The 22,044-nt window shown below is 48.6% G+C and overlaps 1 protein-coding gene across 12 annotated transcripts in view, besides 1 other annotated feature; it reads right to left on the bottom strand.

The window, feature by feature from the left end:
- The window catches only part of ITSN1 (intersectin 1), a 257,361-nt gene that overhangs the window by 12,350 nt on the left and 222,967 nt on the right, over positions 1-22,044 (bottom strand). For 10 of the 12 annotated variants that reach the window (XM_017028428.2, NM_003024.3, XM_017028433.3 and 7 more), the window contains 7 exons: positions 20,181-20,279; positions 11,991-12,158; positions 5,057-5,269; positions 3,841-3,962; positions 2,389-2,471; positions 1,990-2,073; positions 1,052-1,225 (listed from right to left, as the gene is read on the bottom strand). In XM_017028428.2, the coding sequence (XP_016883917.1) occupies positions 1,052-1,225; positions 1,990-2,073; positions 2,389-2,471; positions 3,841-3,962; positions 5,057-5,269; positions 11,991-12,158; positions 20,181-20,279 (943 nt within the window). The remainder of the gene's footprint in view (positions 1-1,051; positions 1,226-1,989; positions 2,074-2,388; positions 2,472-3,840; positions 3,963-5,056; positions 5,270-11,990; positions 12,159-20,180; positions 20,280-22,044) is intronic. The other 2 variants (XM_017028431.3, XM_017028432.3) reach the window with 1 other exon arrangement.
- Positions 1,251-2,450: an enhancer, noted in NCBI's record as "BRD4-independent group 4 enhancer chr21:35257366-35258565 (GRCh37/hg19 assembly coordinates)". NCBI's record gives its function as "activates an origin of replication core promoter dependent on BRD2, P300/CBP, MED14 and CDK7 cofactors, and independent of BRD4, by STARR-seq in HCT116 cells {active_cell/tissue: HCT116}" and the evidence as "EXISTENCE:reporter gene assay evidence [ECO:0000049][PMID:35650434]".

Here is a 22,044-nt window from a genome sequence, read left to right as displayed (position 1 = left end):
CATTTAACCAGCTACCACAACGAGTACCTAACTCACAATGAGATAATTCATATAAAAAGTACTAAAAGATGAAGGCCATATGGAGCCATTTAAACCTTGTACAGATAATGCTAGCATTTGACCCTCACTTCTTCGGTTATAATTAAGTTGAGACCATAATCTTTTAACTTACTCTGTGATTTTTTTTTTTTTGGAGACAGGATCTTGCTCTGTTGCCCAGGCTGGAATATAGTGGTACCATCATGGCTCACTGCAGCCTCGACCTCCCAGGCTCAAGCAATCCTCCTGCCTCAGCCTCCCGAGTAGCTGGAACTACAGGTGCATGCCACCATGCCTGGCTAAGTTTTGTATTTTTTTGTAGAGACAAGGTCCCACTATGTTGCCCAGGCTGGTCTTAGACTCCTGGGCTTAAGCGATCCTCCTGCCTCAGCCTCCCAAAGTGTTGGGATTCCAGGCCTGCAGCACCATGCCCACCGGTGATTTTTATTGGGTTGAGGGAGAGACAGGTAGTTTCTTGGAATCATTGGGCTGAGACTATTCTTTTCCAGGCCCAAGCAGAAACAGAAGGCTGGCTGAAGAAATGATTCATTCAACATGACTGCATCCCTTTGCCTACTTAATAAGTGGTACAAAAATGCCACCCAAAGGGACCTGGCCCATTCTGCGGCTCCTGTTGTGGGCTAACATCCTTGTTCCATTGGCCAGTTTCATCCATTGCCAGCACAGCTTTTTGCCAAGGACTGAAGAACTATGCTGAGGCTCTTAAACACACCCCTCTCCACAGTCACCTGCTTTGGAAAGCAGAAGATGGACGTGTTTGCCCAGGGCAGCTGGCACAATTCTAGACCAAGCATGCTCTGTCCACATGCAATGAGACGCCTCCAGAAGACTCCTCCAGGGGAGACAGAGCCTCGTCTTGTGCCAGCCAGCCTCATCTCTCAGGAGGGAAACCGAAGGAATCCTGGCACCAAGTCCCCAGGTAAGAAAACATTAACCCACGCAAACGAGTGCCAGGGAAGGAGGAATAACCACAGGGCCGCGTTCCACTCACCATCTGGTGAGAACTGGTCCCTCTCGAACACAGTGATGCAGAGGACTTCCTGCTCCAGGTCTCGGATGAAGAACTGGCAGTTGGAATTCCACTTGGGGTTCAGAGTGTCCTGGATCGTCTTGGTGATGTGGCACTGGGAACCCATGGTCACCTCACAGTACGGGTTGCTCTTTCCTGGAGGGAACAAAAGCCTTCGCCAGGTGGAACTCACACCTCATTTTGATCTCCACTCTTTTTTTTTTTTTTTTTTAGATGGATTCTTGCTCTGTCGCCCAGGCTGCAGTGCAGTGGTATGATCTCAGCTCATTGCAACCTCCACCTCCTGAGCTCAAGTGATTCTCCTGCCTCAGTCTCCTGAATGAATAGCTGGTATTACAGGTGGCTGCCCCCATGCCTGGCTAATTTTTTATATTTTTAGTAAAGACGGGCTTTCACCATGTTGGCCAGGCTGGTCTCAAACTCCTGACCTCAGGTGATCCACCTGCTTTGGCCTCCCAAAGCACTGGGATTACAGGTGTGAGCCACCATGCCCGGCCGCTCCCCACTCTTAATAACTGCTATGCTTAATAAGTGTCATTCGGTGGAGAATCCGGGTGGAAACTCCCAGAAGTCAGCTTCATCCTTAAACTAAAAACAAATACTTAATTGAGTGGGCTTTGAAACTAGGCCCTTCCTGTCTCGTTACTTTGGCCTGATCTTGTGTCACATCCACTGTGAATGCAGCCACTCAGATCCCTCGGAGAAGCAGAATGGTAGAAAGGATGGAAAAAAAAACACAAAACCTCCAGGTTTTTAACAAGTGCTAGTTAAACCAATTCTGGAAGGAGATCAGGGAGTATGGAAATAGCACATTTGATCTAGAGCCAGGTGGGGGTGTGGGGAACCCGGACCCTACTCCCAACCCCAAAGCAGGAGCCGGGGGCGCCTCACAGCCTTACCATGTGACCGACAGGGTTTCAACTCGATGCCTTCAACCACGTTCACCATCAACCTTCCAATGCCTGTTGCCCTTTGGGAACGGACTATGACGGCAGGAAAAACACAAAATGCTTCATTTGAACGTGCCACACCTTTCCCATCTCTGTGAGCCTCACAATGCATTTCATGTACCTCTCCCGACTCAAAAGTAATTCTTCCCTCTCCTTAAACACTTGCTTCCTTGCTCCTGGAATTTGCCCTCCATCCCCATCTGCATCCCACCCCAAGCTCACTTCCATCTCATTCCATGCCCCTCCTCTAGGTCCAGGGGATTCTTCTATTCTGAGGATTTTCAGCCCAGCCAAATGGCCCTCCCTCCTGCCCAGCTGTGCAGGACACCCCGCGGGGCCATGCATTACCCAGGTACGCTTTCTCGCGCTTCTTTTTCTCAGTCTCTATGTAGAGTTCAGAAGCAGCTTTGATTTTCTGCACCCAGGCAGTCCTTGGACAGAAAAAGACAGAAAGTTGCCAAACAGAAACTCAGGAAAAAGGCTTCAGGTCTGTTCAAACACTGTTGCCAGGACTCTGTTTCTTTGTTCATTTGATTTTAACAACAAAGGCTCGGGAAAGAAAATCTGATTTTATGTCACGTGACGCTAATACTTATTCCTGCCATCGATAAGAAAGGCATGAGGGCCATTTCCATGGATGTCCTCAAGACCTGCGATGATGTCCCCGGGGAAGAAAATCTGTGATAGATGCTGTCTTGGAGGCAACATCGGGACACGACTCCTCTTCCTTCCTTACCGAAGAGCAGCACATATTTGCCTAATCCAACAAAGCCAGAAGGATCTCGCTTATGAAATCACGCAAAGAAAGAACAAAAACCACTTCCCAGATTGGGAACCACTTCACACGAAAGACCAAAACGCCTTGGGGGAAGGCATTTGTGGCCGCGGTTTTCTCCTTCATTTTTTCTGAGAACCATATGCACAAAAGCTTTAGCCAATTTTCTTGCTTGGTGCAAATGCTCTTTGGAATGATGCTGGCCTTGTGTCAAGTTCACCCTTCAGAAAATGATCTATTTCATTTGGCTCCAGGGCAGTGTCTTGAAGACAGATTGAAGCAAAATACCCACAGCCCTAGGTTCCAGAATGCCCATTTAAGTCAGCCAAGGTGAGGAGAGGTTTGGGTTTGCGTGGTCCTATTAACCCCGAAATTACTTTCCTATTGGTTTCTGCCACCTGGGAAGCCAGGGGAAACCTGAGATGCTCTGTTTACCTCAAAGAATGCGAAACATTTCTTAATAAAACAACAACAACAACAACAACAATGCCAGGTGCAGTGGCTCACCCCTGTAATCCCAGAATTCTGGCATTCTGGGAGGCCAAGGCGGGTGGATCCCTTGAGCCCAGGAGTTTAAGACCAGCCTGGGCAACATGGCAAGAACCCATCTCTACAAAAAAATATAAAGAATTAGCCAGGCTTGGTAGCACATGCCTGTAGTCCCACATACCTGGGAGGCTAGGGTGGGAGGATTACCTGAGCCCAGGAGGTTAAGGCTGCAGTGAGCTGTGACTGCACTACTGCACTCCAGCCTGGGTGACAGAGTGAGACTCTGCCTTAAAAAAAAAAAAAAAAAAAAAAACTCAAGCAAAATTAGTTTGAATCCATGTTATTTTGGAAAGGGCATGCCATGTGACAGATTTTTGAGAGGCTGTAGAAAAAAGTAATAGCCCCATCCCCACTCCCAGCTAGGGGTGATGGCATTGCCACTTGGGAAACATTGGCACCTGATTAATCACCCGCCCCTTGTGTGTCCTAGAGCCGTGGAGCCCTGGGGCCCATGCTGGGGAGGCGGCAGGTCTCACCTTTCATTTATGCTTTCTGCTCGGAGAGTATAGACGCGGTCAATGTGGGAGATGTGGAAGATGGGCTCGTCTCCAGAAGGGTCGGTGGGTAATTTTACTAGAACCTCATTTAGGAAAATAGGCTGGAAAGTAACACACAGGCATTACAAAGCGAGGCTGGGGGTCTGTGTGCTCCGGTAAACCGTGAGTGTGTGAGCACACTTATGCCAATGTGTTCTAGTAAACGAGACTGCAAGTCAGCGCGTGTGTGCACACTCGTGCGTGTGTTTCAGTAACCTAGACTGAGCATGTGTGTGTGTTTCTGGGTGTGTTCCAGTAAACCAGACTAAGGGCGTGTGTGTTTTCCAGTAAAGAATCCCAGAATAATAATTTTGGGTTAGCATCAACTTTTACATATTACAAATTATAAATATGATAAATATGGGTTCCCCCGCCCACGATTTTGCGGGTATGTTTTAAGTCTTTCAGAATAAGATCTGGCTGGTGTCGCTTTTCCTGGTGTATTCTAAACAGCAGTTTTCATCCACTTTACATCAAGCAATTCCCTCCAAAGATTTTCACATGAAGTTTCTAGTAACTATATAACTACATAGCTCTTTTTTTTCCCATAATAAAGCTAACTGCTGCCTCAGAGAAAATTCTTCTGTAAAAACACCCCCATGCAGACAAATTTAGAAAAACAACGTCCCGTGACACAAAGACACACAAACACAGCCATGCACGTATGAGCAGACCATATAAACAGCTGAGGGAAATTCTCCACGTATCAACTGTTTAGAGAGACTTTGCTAGAAAGGAGGGGGCTCGGATGTTTCAAGCTACCTGGAGAAGTCTGGCAGGGGACTTAGGACTGTTTGGAGGCGACGGTGGGCCCTGGGTGCTGTTTTGCACCTCTTCTCCCGAGCTTTTTCACACCTGCCTCATCTGTACCCTAGACTTCGCTCCTACAGGCTAAAGCATGCCTCTGTCACATCCCAGGGGACCACAGCAGCCATTTGGCAGCCAATATGTTCCACCGATAGCACTGAGTGTCACTGACACTGCGGCGGGATATGGATCGTCCTCCACTCCGGACACCCTAAATCGCATTTCAACTCCTGGCCTTCTCCTGCATGCCACAGCCCCTGACCCTGCTAAAACTCTACCTCCTTTTTGGAAACTTCTTCCTCCCCAAACACGTCAACCCTGATAATGCAAAATCTAGAATCCAACTTACTGTTTTATACATTTTATACTGCAGGTTTGATTTGGGGCTGAAGACTTTGTCGGTGCCAGAAGACCCCAAAGGCTTCGTGATCTGAGTCAGCAGGAGGAAGTCGTTGAAAAGGAAGCCATACAGCTCCTTGTTGCTCTTGGCCTTGTAGAGCTTCCCACTGTGCAGAAATTTGCGCGGCCCCAAGCAATTGGTCACTGAATTGAACACAAGTTGCTGAGAAAGGAAAACAAAACCCAAAGTGTAGCATTTTTGTTTCTCCGCATCTGAAAGCATGGGCTCCATCAGAATCAGAGGCCAGGCCCCAGCAGACTCGGATCTCAGGCAAAAGTCAAGGATAGCTTTGAAGACTTTGGAGCCAAGAGATCAAAGTCAGACAAAGGCACAGTTCAGGGGATTCCAAGTATCAAGAAGAGTCTCAATGGTAATTTCTAAGGCTTTTCCTCTAGGAGCATGCCAGTGTCTTATGGTGCAACTGGTGTGTTTTTTCTTTTCTTTTTTTTTTTTTTTTTTGAGACAGGGTCTCACTATGTTGCCCAGGCTGGAGTGCAGTGGTGTGATCATAGTTCAGGTAGCCTTGACCTCCCAGGTTCAAGCAATTCTCCCATCTCAGCCCCCCAACACATGTGAAAAAAACTTTTGTAGAGATGGGGTCTCCCTACTTTGCCCAGGCTGGTCTTGAACTTCTGACTTCAAGCGATCGTTCCACCTCAAGCTCCCAAAATACTGGGATTACAGGTGTGAGCCACTGGGCTTGGCCATTTCTCTTTTTTATTTACTGGGGAAATGGGGCAGCAGAAAGAAAAGTGCCCACCTGGCTCCCACCTTGGGGACTCCCTGCTCTATGCAGGGTCTGTGCATGAAACAGCTCCAGGGAGAAAACCCCACACAGATTCAGACAGTCCTTTGAGCTTCTGGAAAGCAGCAGCCCCCGTCTCTCTCCAATTCCATGGACAAATGCTGCCTTCCAAGGCACAACTGCAGTCCGGGCCCCTGGCATGTGTGTGACTGCACAAATCAGTGGTGTTAATTTTTTTTTTTTTTTTTTTTTTGAGACAGAGTCTCACTCTGTCGCCCAGGCTGGAGTGCAGTGGCACAATCTCTGCTCACTGCAAGCTCCGCCTCCCGGGTTGACGCCATTCTCCTGCCTCAGCCTCCCGGGTAGCTGGGACTACAGGTGCTCGCGACCACGCCCGGCTAATTTTTTGTATTTTTAGTAGAGACGGGGTTTCACCATGTTAGCCAGGATGGTCTCAATCTCCTGACCTCGTGATCCACCTGCCTTGGCCTCCCAAAGTGCTGGGATTACCGGCGTGAGCCACCATACCCAGCTGTAAATCAGTGGTGTTGAGCGACCCTCCAGTGCCAAACAGAACAGACACTGTACTGCGCACATGAAACCTCACCCGACTCACCCGCTCAGCAAACAGGAAGGGAACAGCTCCCTCCCTCCACTGACCCTTAGAGACACGGTGGGCGCTGAAACGCGGCTCTAACACCTCTCGGGGGTCCATCACCTCCACTAGGTTCTGAAGGGGCAGAGGGCACTGAGGTGGAGATGATCCCACAGAGGCCCCCTTTTTGACAGCAAGGGGAGAGGCCAAGGATAGCAAGGCCATGGCTGCGCGCCAGGAGTAAGATGACCCAGTCCGAGGCCAGCCCCTCACGCTCCCCATCTGCCCACACAATTGGCCTGGGGGGCGCTCCGGAGCTCTGTCCTGAGCTACGAGCCCTATGGACCCCTCTCTGAAGAGAGTATTTGTGAAGGAGTGATAGGTTCGTAACATGTGTCCCCCAAAAGAAGCTGATGGCCACCTGTCCATCTCCAATACAGGAGAAACAGTGGCACTTCTGTGAGTGGAGAGCTAAAGGCAGCTGGAAAGGGGCCACTGCACTCTGCTGTCAGCCACGAGGAGGAAAGATGACCTCTGACCTCCTGTGGAGGGTCTGAGAGCCCAAGAAAGACCGAAGGTGGTGCCACAACAGGAACCTTCAAAGAACATTCTTCACCTCTGCACTCCAGGCAGGAGCCTGGAGACCAACCAGCCCTTCCTGCTTGCCAAGACAGGGTTCAAGCCACGTGGGCGCAAATAATCCAGAGAAGGCAAGTGTCATTGGATCCAATGACATAAAGGTGCTCTCGTTCATTCATACTCAAAGCCTCTAATTGGCCAAGATAACACTGAATATGCATGAACTGGGAACAGTATTTAAACTTCTCTATCTTCAGACAGGAATGCCAAAAACAGCATCTGTTTGAAACTTAATCACTGGTGTGTGTCCAGACCTGGGCCACGCATGGTCCACACCGTGATCCTAGGTCAGGAGACAGAAGTCAACACATCCCCTTCCCATCACCATGAACATCATCAAGACAACAACGACGCTGTGCATGATAGCCAGGAAGACTGACCAAGAAGGACAGCCATCTGATGGCAAAGGGGGGATGTAAGCTGAAAAAATCAAAGCACAAGAACTAGGCTGGATGCAGTGGATCACACCTGTAATCCCAACACTTTGGGAGGCCGAGGTGGGCAGATCACCTGAGTTCAGGAGTTGGAGACCAGCCTGGCCAACATGGCGAAACCCCGTCTCTACTAAAAATACAAAAATTAGCTGGGTGTGGTTCTGGGCCCCTATAGTTCCAGCTACTCGGGAAGCTGAGGCAGGAGAATCTCTTGAACCCATGAGGTGGAGGTTGCAGTGAGCCGAGATCGCACCTCTGCACTCCAGCTTGGGTAAGAGAGTGAGACTCTGTCTCAAAAAAAAAGAAGGATGACAACTGATTTTACTTTAACATCTTCAGATCCCGGCCTCACTGTGTCCCTCTGATGGCAGCTGTCAGAGTCGGGGAAGGGCCCTTTCTAAAGTGCACATGACTGTGTGTCGGCATTTCTGCGTGGCAGTGCAGGGGCTGCTTGAGTCCCTTGTCTTCAGGATCAAGTTAATGTTCCTTTGCATTATACACAGGCCTTCCTCGGCTGGGCCTCAGCCTGCCCTGCAGCCCTGTGGCCCATCATTCCTCTGCAATCCTCACCAATGCCCTGCTCAGAATCTCAGAATGGTCCTCCACTCCTAATGCCCTGCCTCAATCTTTCTTTTTTTTCTGAGACAGGGTCTTGCTCTGTTGCCCACGTTGGAGTATAGTGGTGCGATCATGGCTCACTGCAGCCTCAAACTCCTGGGCTCAAGCGATCCTCCTGCCTCAGCCTCCCAAGTAGCTGAGACTACAGGTGCATGCCACCACACCTGGTTAGTTTTCTAAACATTTTTTGTAGAGACAGGGTCTCACTATGTTGCCCAGGCTGGTCTTGAACTTCTGGCCTCAAGGGATCCTCCTGCCTTGGCCTCTCAAAGTGCTGGGATTACAGGCCTGAGACACGGTGCTTGGCCTGCCTCCAATGCTTCATCCTGCAACACGCAGTCAAGCATCACCTCCAGGGCCCGAGAGTCCCCCGTACAACTGTCCCTTGCTCCTGTCACATGTCGCCACAGCACTTGGCACCTAGCTCTGCCTCCTTACCCCTCACATCTTGTTGTAAATGTTGGTTTAACCCCCAGCTTCCTCCTGGACCATAAGCTCCTCGAGAGTGGGAGTCACATCTTATTTGTTTTTATGTCCCAGGGTTTAGTACTGAGCCGTGGCACATGGGTGGTTACTCACTAAGTGCTTATTGAATGAATGATGATGAGCGAATAAATGAGCCACCCACTGACAGCAGAGCAACACAAAATCCCAAAATGGGAGCCCACAGCTGTCCTCTCGGCTTCCACGGGGCTGCTTCCACACCTTTGCTCATCCCACACCAACACTGAAGGTGGACAGGAGATGGGGCCGTGGAGGAACCAGTCATGGTGACTCCCTCAGGTGGTGATGGCCTTTGCAGCTTATGAGAGGGAAGAAACCACAGGAGGAGTGGATGAGGGAGACACATTCTCGCTGGTCATTTTGGGAAACCCTAGTGAATGGTGTATGTGTGTGCATACATGCATGTATGTATGTGTGTACAGGCACAAGCACATGTGTATACAGAAACAGAGAGAAAAAATGGGCAAAAAGAATGAATGAGACCAAAGGAAAGGTTAAGTGAAAAGAAGAAAATTAGAAACCAAATGAGAGGCTTCTGGCCAGGCGTGGTGGCTCACACCTGTAATCCCAGCACTTTGGGAGGTTAAGGCGGGCAGATCGCTTGAGCTCAGGAGTTTGAGACCAGCCTGGGCAACATGGTGAGTCCTTGTCTCTACAAAAAAAATAGAATCATTAGCTGGGCATGGTGGCCAATGCCTGTAGTCCCAGCTACTTGGAAAGCTGAGATGGGAGAATCACTCGAGGAGGTTGAGGCTGCAGTGAGCTGAGTTTGTGCCACTGCACTCCAGCCTGGGCAACAGAGTGAGACCCTGACTAAAACAAACACACACACACACACACACACACACACACACACACACAAAGAGAGAGAGAAAGAGAAAGAGAGACAGAGAGAGACTTCTGTTGCTGGAAGTAGAGTGGACTAGATACTCAGAATGACTCACCCAACAAAAACTTTAAAAAAACAGAAAAATGCAAAAATCCACTTTTTAACTCCAAGAAAACTGGCACACACACACACACACACACACACACACACACACAAAATAGAAACAAAGTAAGAAATTTGCAGAGGCTGAAAACAGAATGAAAATAGGAACCTTGGAAGATCACCGAAAGCCAGTGCCACTATAGCTTTGAGGGTCTCTCTTGAATCTGCTGACGCTGACCTTGCATTTTACTCACTACATAGGGTGCAGAAACAGGTGCATCCAGAGCCAACGTGAGGGGTCTACTAGGAGATCTTCACAAAAAGATGAACCCAGAGGAGGAGTGACAGGTAAACTCAAGCTCAGAGGGGATGAGCAATAAAACATTTCTGTTTTTGACCTTGGTGTAGTGAAGGAAAACGTGCCCTGAGAATGTGTGCTTTATCAGGTAGCTCTCACGCAAGTTTACAACCACGATTCACACAAGGGCTGTGATGCCCAAACCCCTCTAAACATAGTTTTGGATAATCACAATAACAGTCCTTCCAGAAGGAATACAACTTCAGACAATAAAGATGCCTGCAGGTGGGCCAGGTGCGGTAATCACGCCTGTAATCCCAGCACTTTGGGAGGCTGAGGCAGGTGGATCTTCTGAGGCCAGGAGTTCGAGACCAGACTGGTCAACATGGTGAAACCCTGTCTCTCCTAAAAATATAAAAATTAGCCAGGCATGGTGGTGCGCACCTGTAATCCCAGCTACTTTTGAGGCTGAGGCAGGAGAACTGCTTGAACCTGGGAGGCAGAGGTTGCGGGGAGCCGAGATCACACCACTGCACTCCACCCTGGGTGACAGAGCGAGACTCCATTTCAAAAAAAAAAAAGGTGCCCACAGGTAAAGTTCTAAGGAACATTTAGTTCACAGTCAAAAATCGTAATACAAGAAACAAGGTAGTAAGTTTAGCAAGAGCTGGCAGAAACAACAGACAAAACAATAACACCCATAACTTCAGGTTATGGGTTCTATATCTATATCTATATCTACATCTATATCTATATCTGTTTGTTGTTTTGAGACACATTCTGCTCTGTTGCCCAGGCTGGAGTATAGTAGCGTGATCATAGCTCACCTTACCCTTGAACTCCTGGGCTCAAGCAATCCTCCCACCTCAAGTGTGAACCACTGCACCCAGCTAATTTACTTTTTATTTTTTTGTATAGACAGGGTCTCACTCTGTTTCCAGGCTGATCTTGAACACAAACTAGCCTCCTGCCTCCACTTCCCAAAGCACTGGGATTACAGGCGTGAGTCACGGCACCTGGCCAGGAATATCTATGTTTAAAATGTGTTAAGAAATAAATAAGAAGGATTAACATTTGAGCAAAAAACAAGATACAAGAAAGAAACCAGCATAGCTGGGCATGGTGGCATGCACCTGTGGTCCCAGCTACTTGGGATGCTGAAGTGGGAAGATCACTTGAGCTCAGGTGGTCCAGGCTGCATTGAACTGGGATTGTGCCACTGCATTCCAGCAGCCTGGGTGACAGAGCAAGATCCTGTTGAAAGAAAGAAAAGAAAAAAGAAGAGAAGAGAAGGAGAAAGGAAGGAAGGAAAGAAGGAAGGAAGGAAGGAAGGAGAAAGAAAGAGAGAGAGAAGGAAAGAAAGAGAGAAAAAGAAGAGAGGAAGGAAGGAGAAGAAAGAGAGAGAGAAGGAAAGAAAGAGAAAAAGAAGAGAGGAAGGAAGGAGAAAGAGAGAAGGAAGGAAGGAAAGAAAGAAAGAGGGAGAGAGAGAAAGAAAGAAAGAAAGAAAGAAAGAAAGAAAGAAAGAAAGAAAGAAAGAAGGAAAGAAAGAAAGAGGAAAGAAAAAGGGAGAAAGAGAAAGAAAGAAATCAGCAGACAGGAGAAAATAAATAGAACTTCTGGCAATGGGAAATGATATAATTTAAATTAGAAACTCAGTGGATGGCCAGGCGCGGTGGCTCATGCCTGTAATCCCAGCACTTTGGGAGGCCGAGGTGGGCAGATCACCTGAGGCCAGGAGTTCAAGACCAGCCTGGCCAACACGGGAAACCCCATCTCTACTAAAAATACAAAAATTAGCCGGGTGTAGTGGCGTGTGCCTGTAGTCCCAGCTATTCAGGAGGCTGAGGCAGGAGAATCACTGGAACCGGGGAGGCGGAGGTTGCAGTGAGCTGAGATGGTGCCACTGCACTCCAACCTGGGCAACAGAGTGAGACTCTATCTCAAATAAATAAATAAATACTCAGTGGGTGGATGAAACAGCAGATGAGAAGCAGCTGGATGGAAATGAGGATGCTATCGGCTGGGGAGGAGAATGGTTCATGCTTTTCTTTGTCCTCCTCCAGGCTGGCAGGCGAGGCTCTGCCGGGGGAGACCAGGGCCCAGCCCCAAGGTTGGCTACCTCAGACAGGCCTTCACACTGCACGTGGGCCTGGATCCACTCCAGCCGGTCAGAGTTCTCCTTCTCCCGCACCCCTTCGTTCACCTGGGAACAGAGCTCTTCCGCCTTCTCCAGGGCGTGCTTCAAGTGGCTGTGGTCCGGGTGGTTTTCAGGGGTGTTTTCCAGGATCTACACAGGAGAATAAAAACAACCACCTCCTTTTAGGCAATGTGGGCGGGCCTGTGATCCAGGGTCCTGCAGGACCAGGCCCAGCGGGGCAGGGCACCATCCTTTCATGGACGGCGCCCACTTGAGCAATCGCAGCTCTGAGCACCCACATGGCAATCACGTAGCAGATGACGGCCACTCCTTGATGGCTCCAGTGGGTGGCATTGCGGGAAGCAGTGAATGGTCCCATCCTTGAGGTCTCAGTCCAGCCCCACACCCTGAATGTCCAGGGCAAGCTATGTGATCTGTCCGGCAAAATGTTAACATCGCAGGGTGGACCCCAAGCCACACATGCAGACTCACAGGATCACAGTGTGTACATATAACCATGGGGCCCTTAGAGTTTCTCTTTGAAAATATTTACCCTTGGCCGGGCACAGTGGCTCACGCCTGTAATCCCAGCACTTCGGGAGGCCAAGGTGGGCAGATCACAAGGTCAAGAGATCGAGACCATCCTGGCCAACATGGTGAAACCCCATCTCTATTAAAAATACAAAAATTAGCTGGGCGTGGTGGCGCATGCCTGTCGTCCCAGCTACTCGGGGGGCTGAGGCAGAAGAATCGCTTGAACCCAGGAGGCAGAGGTTGTAGTGAGCCAAGATTGCGCCACTGCACTCCAGCCCAGCAACGGAGAGAGGCTCCGTCTCAAAAAAAAAAAAAGAAAGAAAAAGAAAATATTCACCCTGTTTCACAGAGGAATAAACTAGTCCCTGAGACCAGGAGCAGAGCCCAGGCATCCCAGGCCCAGTTCCGTGCTATTTTCCCACCTGTTCACTCACTTGGGGAACATACAATGCAATTCTGGCATTTGATGTGCAGTGTTCCATCAACCCACTGATGAGGGTCTAAGAGCCAACAGGTGCCCTTGGAGGGCAGGGCAGGGACAGCGCAGTCTATGCTTAGCATGCAGCCTGGGGCATAAGAGGAGCGGTGGCTGCAGCAAGGGTGGCTCCTTCCTGGGTCCACGCGCCTCTGGAACCACATGCAGACGGGTGCATCAGAGCAAGTGTGCGCTTTTCTAAGCAGACCATTTGGGGTGGTGGCTAAGAATGCCAGCTCCGGAGCTGGACCTCCTGAATTTAAATCCCTGCCCCACCACAGACCACCCATGATTTGGGTTGGTTATATAAATGTTCTTTTTTTTTTTTTTTTTTTTTTGAGACGGAGTTTTGCTCTTGTTGCCCAGGCTGGAATGCAGTGGCGCTATCTCGGCTCACTGCAACCTCTGCCTCCCGGGTTTCAAGCAATTCTTCTGCCTCAGCCTCCCGAGTAGCTGGGACTACAGCCACCACGCCTGGCTAATTTTTGTATTTTTAGTAGAGATGGGGGTTTCACCATGCTGGCCAGGCTGGTCTTGAACTCCTGACCTCAGATGTTCTGCCTGCCTCGGCCTCCCAAAGTGCTGGGATTACAGGCGCGAGCCACCGCACCCAGCCATAAATGTTCTTTTTGTCTCGTTCTGTCACCCAGGCTGGAGAACAGTGGCACGATCTCATCTCACTGCAACCTCTGCCTCCCAGGTTGAAGCAATCCTCCTGCCACAGCTTCCTGAGTAGCTGGGACAACAGGTGTGCGCCACCATGCCCAGCTAATTTTTGTATTTTTAGTGGAGACGGGGGTCTCGCCATGTTGGCCAGACTGATCTCAAACTCCTGGCCTCAAGTGATCTGCCTGCCTCAGCCTCCCAAAGTGCGGGGATTACAGGCGTGAGCCACCACGCCTGGCCCACATAAATGTTCTGAGTCTCAGGTTCCTCGCATGAGAAATGGAGAGGTTAATAGCCTCCTTTATATGGTGTGTGGAGAACTAAATGAGACACGTGGACCTCTTGGCAAAGCACCTGGCCCTTAGAAAGTGCTCAATAAGCAACAGTGATTACCATCAGATCCTCAAAGGACTTCCAGGCCCCTAAAAACAATTATCACCCTGTGCTGGAGAATGAAGAAAGACCCTAAGCCACCTTTGAAGTGTACCAGGAGAATGCCGAGGGCATATTTGCCCAGGCCTTGTCCACATACAAACAATGTAAATGGCCCTGACTCTGAATATCTTATCCCAAAGGCATACCGTGGTTTAAAGTCCTAAGTAGATGCTCAAATGGAGAAAAACACACACTGTTTTCTATGTCTTGTGAGTCCACAAATCAATTCCAAGCAACAACCCCAACCTCTGGGCCAATCCTGACTGTACGTTAGAATCCTTTTGGAAAATCTGAGGCCTCATCCATGACTAAATCAAAATCCCTGGAGGGTGAAACTCAGGCTTAGGGGTTTTCTAGAGGTTTCCAGATGTTCTAACATGCAGTCAAATCTGAGAACCACTACTACAGGCTAGGAACCCACCCAGCTGGCTTGAGTAAATTCATTTGTTTTGTTTAGTTTCAAAATTCAAACAGGTTTATCAATTTTTCTAATGACAAAAGTAATATTGTACAATGTACAAAATTTAGAAAATTCAAAAAGTTATAAAGAACCTAAAAATCACTAATAATCTCCCCATTATTTCAAGAATAAAAATTGCTTTGGGAGGCCGAAGCAGGATGATCACTTGAAGTCAGGAGTTTGAGACAAGCCTGGCCAACATGGTCAAACCCCGTCTCCACTAAAAACACAAAAATTAGCCGGGCGTGATTGTACCTGCCTGTGGTTTCAGCTACTCAGAAGGGTGAGGCAGGAGAATCACTTGAACCCAGGAGGCGGACATTGCAGTGAGCTGAGATCGTGCCACTGCACTCCAGACTGGGTGACAGAGCGAGACTCTGTCTCAAAAAAAAGTAAATAAAAATAAAAATAAAAATTGGATCATACTACCATTTTACAAAAACTACCATTTTATACTGTACTATTTCATACATTGCTTTATAGTACAATGTTCCATGTCCATTTCATACATATTATCATTTTGAGGGTTTTATAATATATCATTATTGGGGTAGACCCCAATATTCATTGAGCACGTTATTGAGCACAATGCGTCTAAATAGTTACCTTCCCATAAAACTTTATGTTGCTTCCAACTTTTCAATATTTCTTAAATTATTTCCTTAGAATAAATTCCTAGAGGTGGAATTGCTGAGCCAAAGAGGAATTATAGTTTGATCTATAATCGCCTTCCAAAAAAGGCTGTATCAATTTAACTTCCACCCAGATCTTTGCCAACACTGGGACCTATAATCTTTTCAATATACGCTCATCTGGCAAGCCAAAATCAAAGTATTTTCTTGTTTTGTTATGTATTTTCTTTTATTACCTGTGAGTGTGAACTTTTTGTACATTTAGCGCATAAGTGTTCTCAATGATAAAACTAACATTTATATACTGCCTAGTATGAGCCACTTTGCATACATTAACTCAGTTAATTCCCACATCACTATGCAGTAGGTACTATCAGTGTCCCTATTTTACAGACAAGAAACTGAGGCCCAACTTGCCCAAGAGCACACAGTGGTTAAGTAGCAAGATTCAAACCCCAGCCAGCCTGGCTCCAGGCTATGTGCTCTTCACTGCTATTCCATACTGCCTACTGCCTCTCAGCAACTTCAAGTTCTATATTCTATCTTTTCTTTTTTTTTTTTTGAGACTGAGTCTCGCTCTGTCGCCAGGCTGGAGTGCAGTGGCGCGATCTCGGCTCACTGCAACTTTCACCTCGTGGGTTTAAGCAATTCTCCTGCCTCAGCCTCCTGAGTAGCTGGGACTACAGGCATGCACCACCATGCCCAGCTAATTTTTGTATTTTTAGTAGAGACGGGCTTCACCATGTTGGCCAGGATGATCTTGATCTCTTGACCTCGGGATCTGCCTGCCTCGGCCTCCCAAAGTGCTGGGATTACAAGTGTGAGCCACCACATCCGGCCTTTTTGTTTTTTGTTTTTTTTTTTGTTTTTTTGAGACAGAGTTTCACTCTGTCACCCAGGCTGGAGTGCAGTGACTCAATCATAGCTCTTTCCCCTCTTCTTGCAAAATGCATCATACCATAGGATTGCTCAGTGAGTTTAGTGTTGCTTTTTCACATAACAGCATTTTCTCAGTGTCTTTCCACACTAATACATGAGTAGAAGTTGCTCTGTATCTTTTTAAATATTTTCATAGTACAGATCTACCATAATTATTTAACCATTCCCATTAATGAACATATACGTTGTTCCCCAGAATAAAATTTGGGTTTTTGTTTTTTGTTTTTTTTTTGAGACAGAGTCCCACTCTGTCACCCAGGCTGGAGTGCTGTGGTGTGATCTTGGCTCACTGCAACCTCTGCCTGCCAGGTTCAAGATATTCTCCTGCCTCAGCCTCTCGAGCAGCTGGGATTACAGATACACATCATGTAGGGAACATGGCTGTGCTGCAACCAGGCAGGCATACGCAGATGTAAACAGCCTGCATGACTCAGGGGGATTAGAGTGCAGGTGCACAATTCTGTGCCATGTCCCATCTACCTGCTGTCTCTCAAGTGTTCTTCCAGCTCCCTGCCCCACGTTCACCCACTCCCCTCAGACCTCAGCTGGGCCTCAAACCTGACACACCATCACTCCCGGCTAATTTTTTCTGTGTTTTTAGTAGAGACAGGGTCTCACCCTGTTGGCCAGGCTAGTCTTGAACTCCTGACCTCAAGTGATCTACCCGTCTTGGTCTTCCAAAGTGCTGGTATTATGGGTGTGAGCCACTATGCCCAGATGAAAGTTTGGGTATTTTTTAGGTTGCTATGATCTAAATCCTTTAAGTTTAGGATTAGCATGTCTTTGAGACCATGCTAAGAATTTCTCCACATCAGTATCATAAAAATATTTAGTATTAGTACTTTAGCAGATTTCATATGTATCTCATAGCTGACCACTGTTTTCAATTCTCTTCTTAGTTCAGCTGGTTTTCAGTTCATTTTTGTGGGTGCTCTGGAAGAAATCAATCGTGTTTCTGCAAATAATGAGTTTTTTTCCCCCTTTTAAATATTTGGGCCATGCAGTCCTTTTCTTGTTTTAGTTTTTCTCCCATTGGCTAGATATAGAACACCTATTTTAAAAGCTTGTTTTCAACTTCAATTTGCAATTAAACATTGGGAGAAAAAAGAGAAGTACTGAGCTAATTAAATAGTAACTGTGGTGTTGGAAGAGAGAAAACAGTAAGTTGAAAACTTACTTCAAAACTAAGTATTTAACTCAGCCAAAGATCCACAGTGTATTTTGTGGAGTTGAGCTGGGGCTGGACTGAGGAGATGGCTTATGTGGGAGGGAGATTTGTCACATGTAAGAAGACTGAGCAAATAAGGAAACACATTGAGGATAATGAGAGCCAGGCTCTTCACAGAGTAGGGAGTTACAAAGGCAGAAGGGGAAAGGCTGGAAAAAATTCTGCAGTATTGGATTAGAATAGGAGGTACTGGTGTGAATTCATGAGTTCTAATATACATGGATAGATGGATCTAGAAATAAATATAAATATATGTGTATATACATTGGCATATGTAAATATGTGTGCATGAAAAGACATTCATATATTTCCCAGCTCTGCCACCGAGAGGAACACAAAACAAAATCACCCCAGTAGCAATGAGCACGCCAGTGCCCACATCTGAGTTTCTAAACACCATTTTCCATTAAAAGGAACCAGATCTAAAACCTCTTTCCAGGAGCTATACTCCCTGTGGTTTTACAAACATAGGCTCAGAGGACATCTAAATCTGTTCACTCATTTTACAGGTGGGGACACTGAAACCCTAATTTTGTTCTTTCTTTTTTCTTTTGGTATCGGCTTTCTCAAAGTGACAGGAGAAGAACAATCATCTAATATCAACACACAGTGTCTGACATGGTTTGGCTGCGCCTCCACCCAAATCTCATCTTGAATTGTAGTTCCCATAATTCCCACATGTTGTGGGAGAGACCAGGTGGAGATAATTGAATCGTTGGGGTGGCTTCCCCCATCCTGTTCTAGTGAGAGTGAGTGAGTTCTCACAATATCTGATGGTTTTGTAAGGGGTTTCCCCCTTCGCTGGGCTCCCATTCTTCTCCTTCTTGCCATTATGTGAAGAAGGATGTGTTTGCTTCCCCTTCCACCATGATTGTAAGTTTCCTGAGTCCTCCCCAGCCATGTGGAACTGAGTCAATTAAACCTCTTTCCTTATTAATTACCCAGTCTTGGGCAGTCCTTTACAACAGTGTGAGAATGGACTAATACAGTGTTTCACAATGGCCTTCTGAAGACAGGTCGTAGCATTACGTTTCTTTCTCTTTTCTGCTAAGAAAATCAAGGCCTAGAGGCACTGGGCCTGTCTTTAAGAAAGAGTCAAGGGAGAAAGGCACAGACCACAGACTGTTTCTGTGATTCCATGTTATTTTCTTCTAGAAAAAAAAAAATTAAAAAAAGAATCAACGACTAAGCTCTCATTTTCTGACTTACAAGGTAGAAGCCACTTGGTCACACATCTGAAGGCTGTGCAGTATTGAGAGGTGACAGCGTGCTGGCAGTCCTCACAGCCCTCGCTCGCTCTCGGTGCCTCCTCTGCCTGGGCTCCCACTTTGGCAGCACTTGAGGAGCCCTTCAGCCCACCACTGCACTCTGGGAGCCCCCTTCTGGGCTGGCCAAGGCCGAAGCCCCCTCCCTCAGCTTGCAGGGAGGTGTGGAGGGAGAGGCGCGAGCAGGAACCGGGGCTGCGTGCGGCGCTTGCGGGCCAGCTGGAGTTCCGGGTGGGCGTGGGCTTGGCGTGCCCCGCACTCGGAGCAGCCGGCCGGCCCTGCTGGCTCCGGGCAATGAGGGACTTAGCACCCGGGCCAGCGGCTGCGGAGGGTGTACTGGGTCCCCCAGCAGTGCCAGCCCACCGGCGCTGCGCTCGATTTCTCAGCGGGCCTTAGCTGCCTTCCCGCGGGGCAGGGCTCGGGACTGCAGCCCGCCATGCCTGAGCCTTCCCCTGCCTCCGTGGGTTCCTGTGCAGCCCGAGCCTCCCCGACGAGCGCCGCCCCCTGCTCCACGGCGCCCAGTCCCATCGACCACCCAAGGCCTGAGGAGTGCGAGTGCATGGCGCGAGACTGGCAGGCAGCTCCAGCTGCAGCCCCGGTGTGGGATCCACTGGGTGAAGCCAGCTAGGCTCCTGAGTCTGGTGGGGACGTGGAGAATCTTTATGTCTAGCTCAGGGATTGTAAAGGCACCAATCAGCCCCCTGTCAAAACAGGCCACTGGGCTCTACCAATCAGCAGGATGTGGGTGGGGCCAGATAAGAGAATAAAAGCAGGCTGCCCGAGCCAGCAGTGGCAACCGGCTCGGTCCCTTTCCACACCGTGGAAGCTTTGTTCTTTCACTCTTTGCAATAAATCTTGCTGCTGCTCACTCTTTGGGTCCACACTGCTTTTATGAGCTGTAACACCGCGAAAGTCTGCAGCTTCACTCCTGAGCTAGCGAGACCACGAGCCCACCGGGAGGAACGAACAACTCCAGACGCGCTGCCTTAAGAGCTGTAACACTCACCGCGAAGGTCTGCAGCTTCACTCTTGAGCCAGCGAGACCACGAACCCACCAGAAGGAAGAAACTCCGAACACATCTGAACATCAGAAGGAACAAACTCCAGACGCGCCACCTTAAGAGCTGTAACACTCACCGCGAGGGTCTGCGGCTTCATTCTTGAAGTCAGTGAGACCAAGAACCCACCAATTCCGGACACAGTATTAGCTCTCTTTTTTTTTTTTTTTTTTAATAGAGATAGGGTCTCATTATGCTGCCCAGGCTGGGCTTGAACTTCTGGGCTCAAGCGATCTGCCCACCTCGGCCTCCCAAAGTGCTGGGATTACAGGCGCGGGCCACCGTGCCCAGCCAGCTCTTTGCGTGATAAACCAGCTTTTCTTTCTGAGTTACCAAGCAGACCTCTGTGACACCTTGTTGTCTCGTGCTTTCTACACAACAGTTACCAGATATGTTCACTGGGAATCTTGTCCATGACCCCAGCCCTCTCCAATGCAGAGAAAGCCGTCCCCTGCTTGAAAAGGCAAGACAGGTACTTACATTTTTAATGATCAGTGGGTATCTTGTTACCCGTTGCATAGGCTTCAGTATAAAACTAGAGAGTGGCATCCCTTTACACCGAGGATCCATTGCCAATCTCTGAAATGAGATGTTTTTAAATGTACTTAAGAAACTTGCAAAATCCAAAGTTAGTGACATCAATACTAATGTCAGTGAGGACTCTCCACCCATTATCTCATTTATCTGGATGACAACTGAGAGACCTGGGGTTGGAAGGGCCTGACTAGTTACCCTGTCCAGGATGACACACTTTCCAGATGGAGAATGGAGACCCACAGATGTGACTCAGCCAGCAGGGTTAAGCCCTGCACTCTGGATTCAGCATACCCTCCATGGCATGCATGGTTCCTTATGCACAGAGATGAGATTCTGGCTTTACACAGAATATTTCGTCTGGATGTCTGCAGAAACTTTATAACATTCCCAGGAACAAGAGTCACAAGACTATACGGTTAGAGGAAAAATTCCCCTTACACCCCAGAACTGCTGGAAGGGCTAAATCTCATTGTCTAGTTTTGAGTGGAGCCTGCACGTGCCTCTGGGAACTCCAGGCAGGGCTGAGAAAGAGGAGCTCAGACAACGGGGGTCAAGACTCCAGTTTCAGGGTCTGGCCACTTAGCTGTCAAAGGCTGTGGTCTGGTTTAATGCCTTAGAAACGGGCAGCTGCATTGACTGGAGCCCTGAGACCTGATAACTGTCTCCAGGGACCGGGACCTGCTCCAGCTGTGGACACCATCATTCCAGGAACACCTCGCAGCTGGCAACGACGTGCCACATTCCCACTGAGAGGAGGTGGGGAGAGGTGAAGAGGAGAGGGGCGGGGAGGGACAATGAGGCCCCTGCTCTGGGCTGGTGTCAGCACTTTCCTGAAGTTCAAGTGCATCCAACAATGAACTCATCTTGCTCGGGCCTAGGAAGAGCCCAGCCCTTGGCTGAAACCCTAGGTGGTCCATGGCGCCCAGCAGCTCAGCATCTGCTCTCTCGTCTCCATCCACCCAAGGCCTCCTTCTTAGCAATCTTTCTCCCCTTGGAATGACCTCAGAGTGCCCCATGCCTTGGCTGGCAAGTCTAGGCTGAGAAACACCATGAGAGGCAGAAACAACAAGCTCACATGAGGCTCTGACCAAGAAGAGGCTGCGCTTGTGCCTCACCACAGTGATTCCACAAGCACCACTCTAGGACAGGTGAGGATGGCCTGTCTCCAAAATGCATGAGATCCAAAGATATGCCTGTTATTATTATTTTGTTGTTTATTCATCAAAAGATACCTGTTTCACAGAAGCTATTTTATTCTCTTCCTCCTTTTTTTCTCCAGGAGATGTGGGGGCTGTTTGAATGGCCCAGCACGGCCAGCAGAGACCCACACTGGCCAAGGCCAAGTCCCAGAGCTGCAGGTCTTCCAGCAGTATCCGCATTACCTCCCCAAACATCCCCTGGTGGACTCCCAACTCTCCAGATCCCTGCTACCTCCAAGGAAGAGGTCCTGGCATCCCACACTGACTCCCACAGGCTGTCTAAGGCGGGAGCACATCAAGCAGAACCAACTGCGAAAGGAATGAAGGGGCCACTGGGAGTCCTGGCCATTCCCTCTGCAAGTGAAGGGCAGAGACCAGCAAAGAACTGAGGATGTGGCGATTAAACACAAGAGGAAATCTAAGACCTGCCTGGGCCTTGCAAATGAAATGAAAGATTTAAACATGCATCCAAATAACACCAATAGCATCTGGAAAACAGATCCCTAAAGACACTTTCAAAGCTTCCAAGCCCAGGGTTCACCCCTCCTCTCCAAGCCCACCCCTTTGGTGACAGCCACACTTGCCAGTGAGTGCCAGTCCCCTAAGGC

This window comes from Homo sapiens, chromosome 21 (assembly GCF_000001405.40).
Source record: "Homo sapiens chromosome 21, GRCh38.p14 Primary Assembly".
NCBI classification, from domain to species: Eukaryota; Metazoa; Chordata; class Mammalia; order Primates; family Hominidae; genus Homo; species Homo sapiens.
The sequence above is the reverse complement of the archived record's forward strand: the minus strand, read 5'-3'. Positions and strand labels throughout refer to the sequence as shown.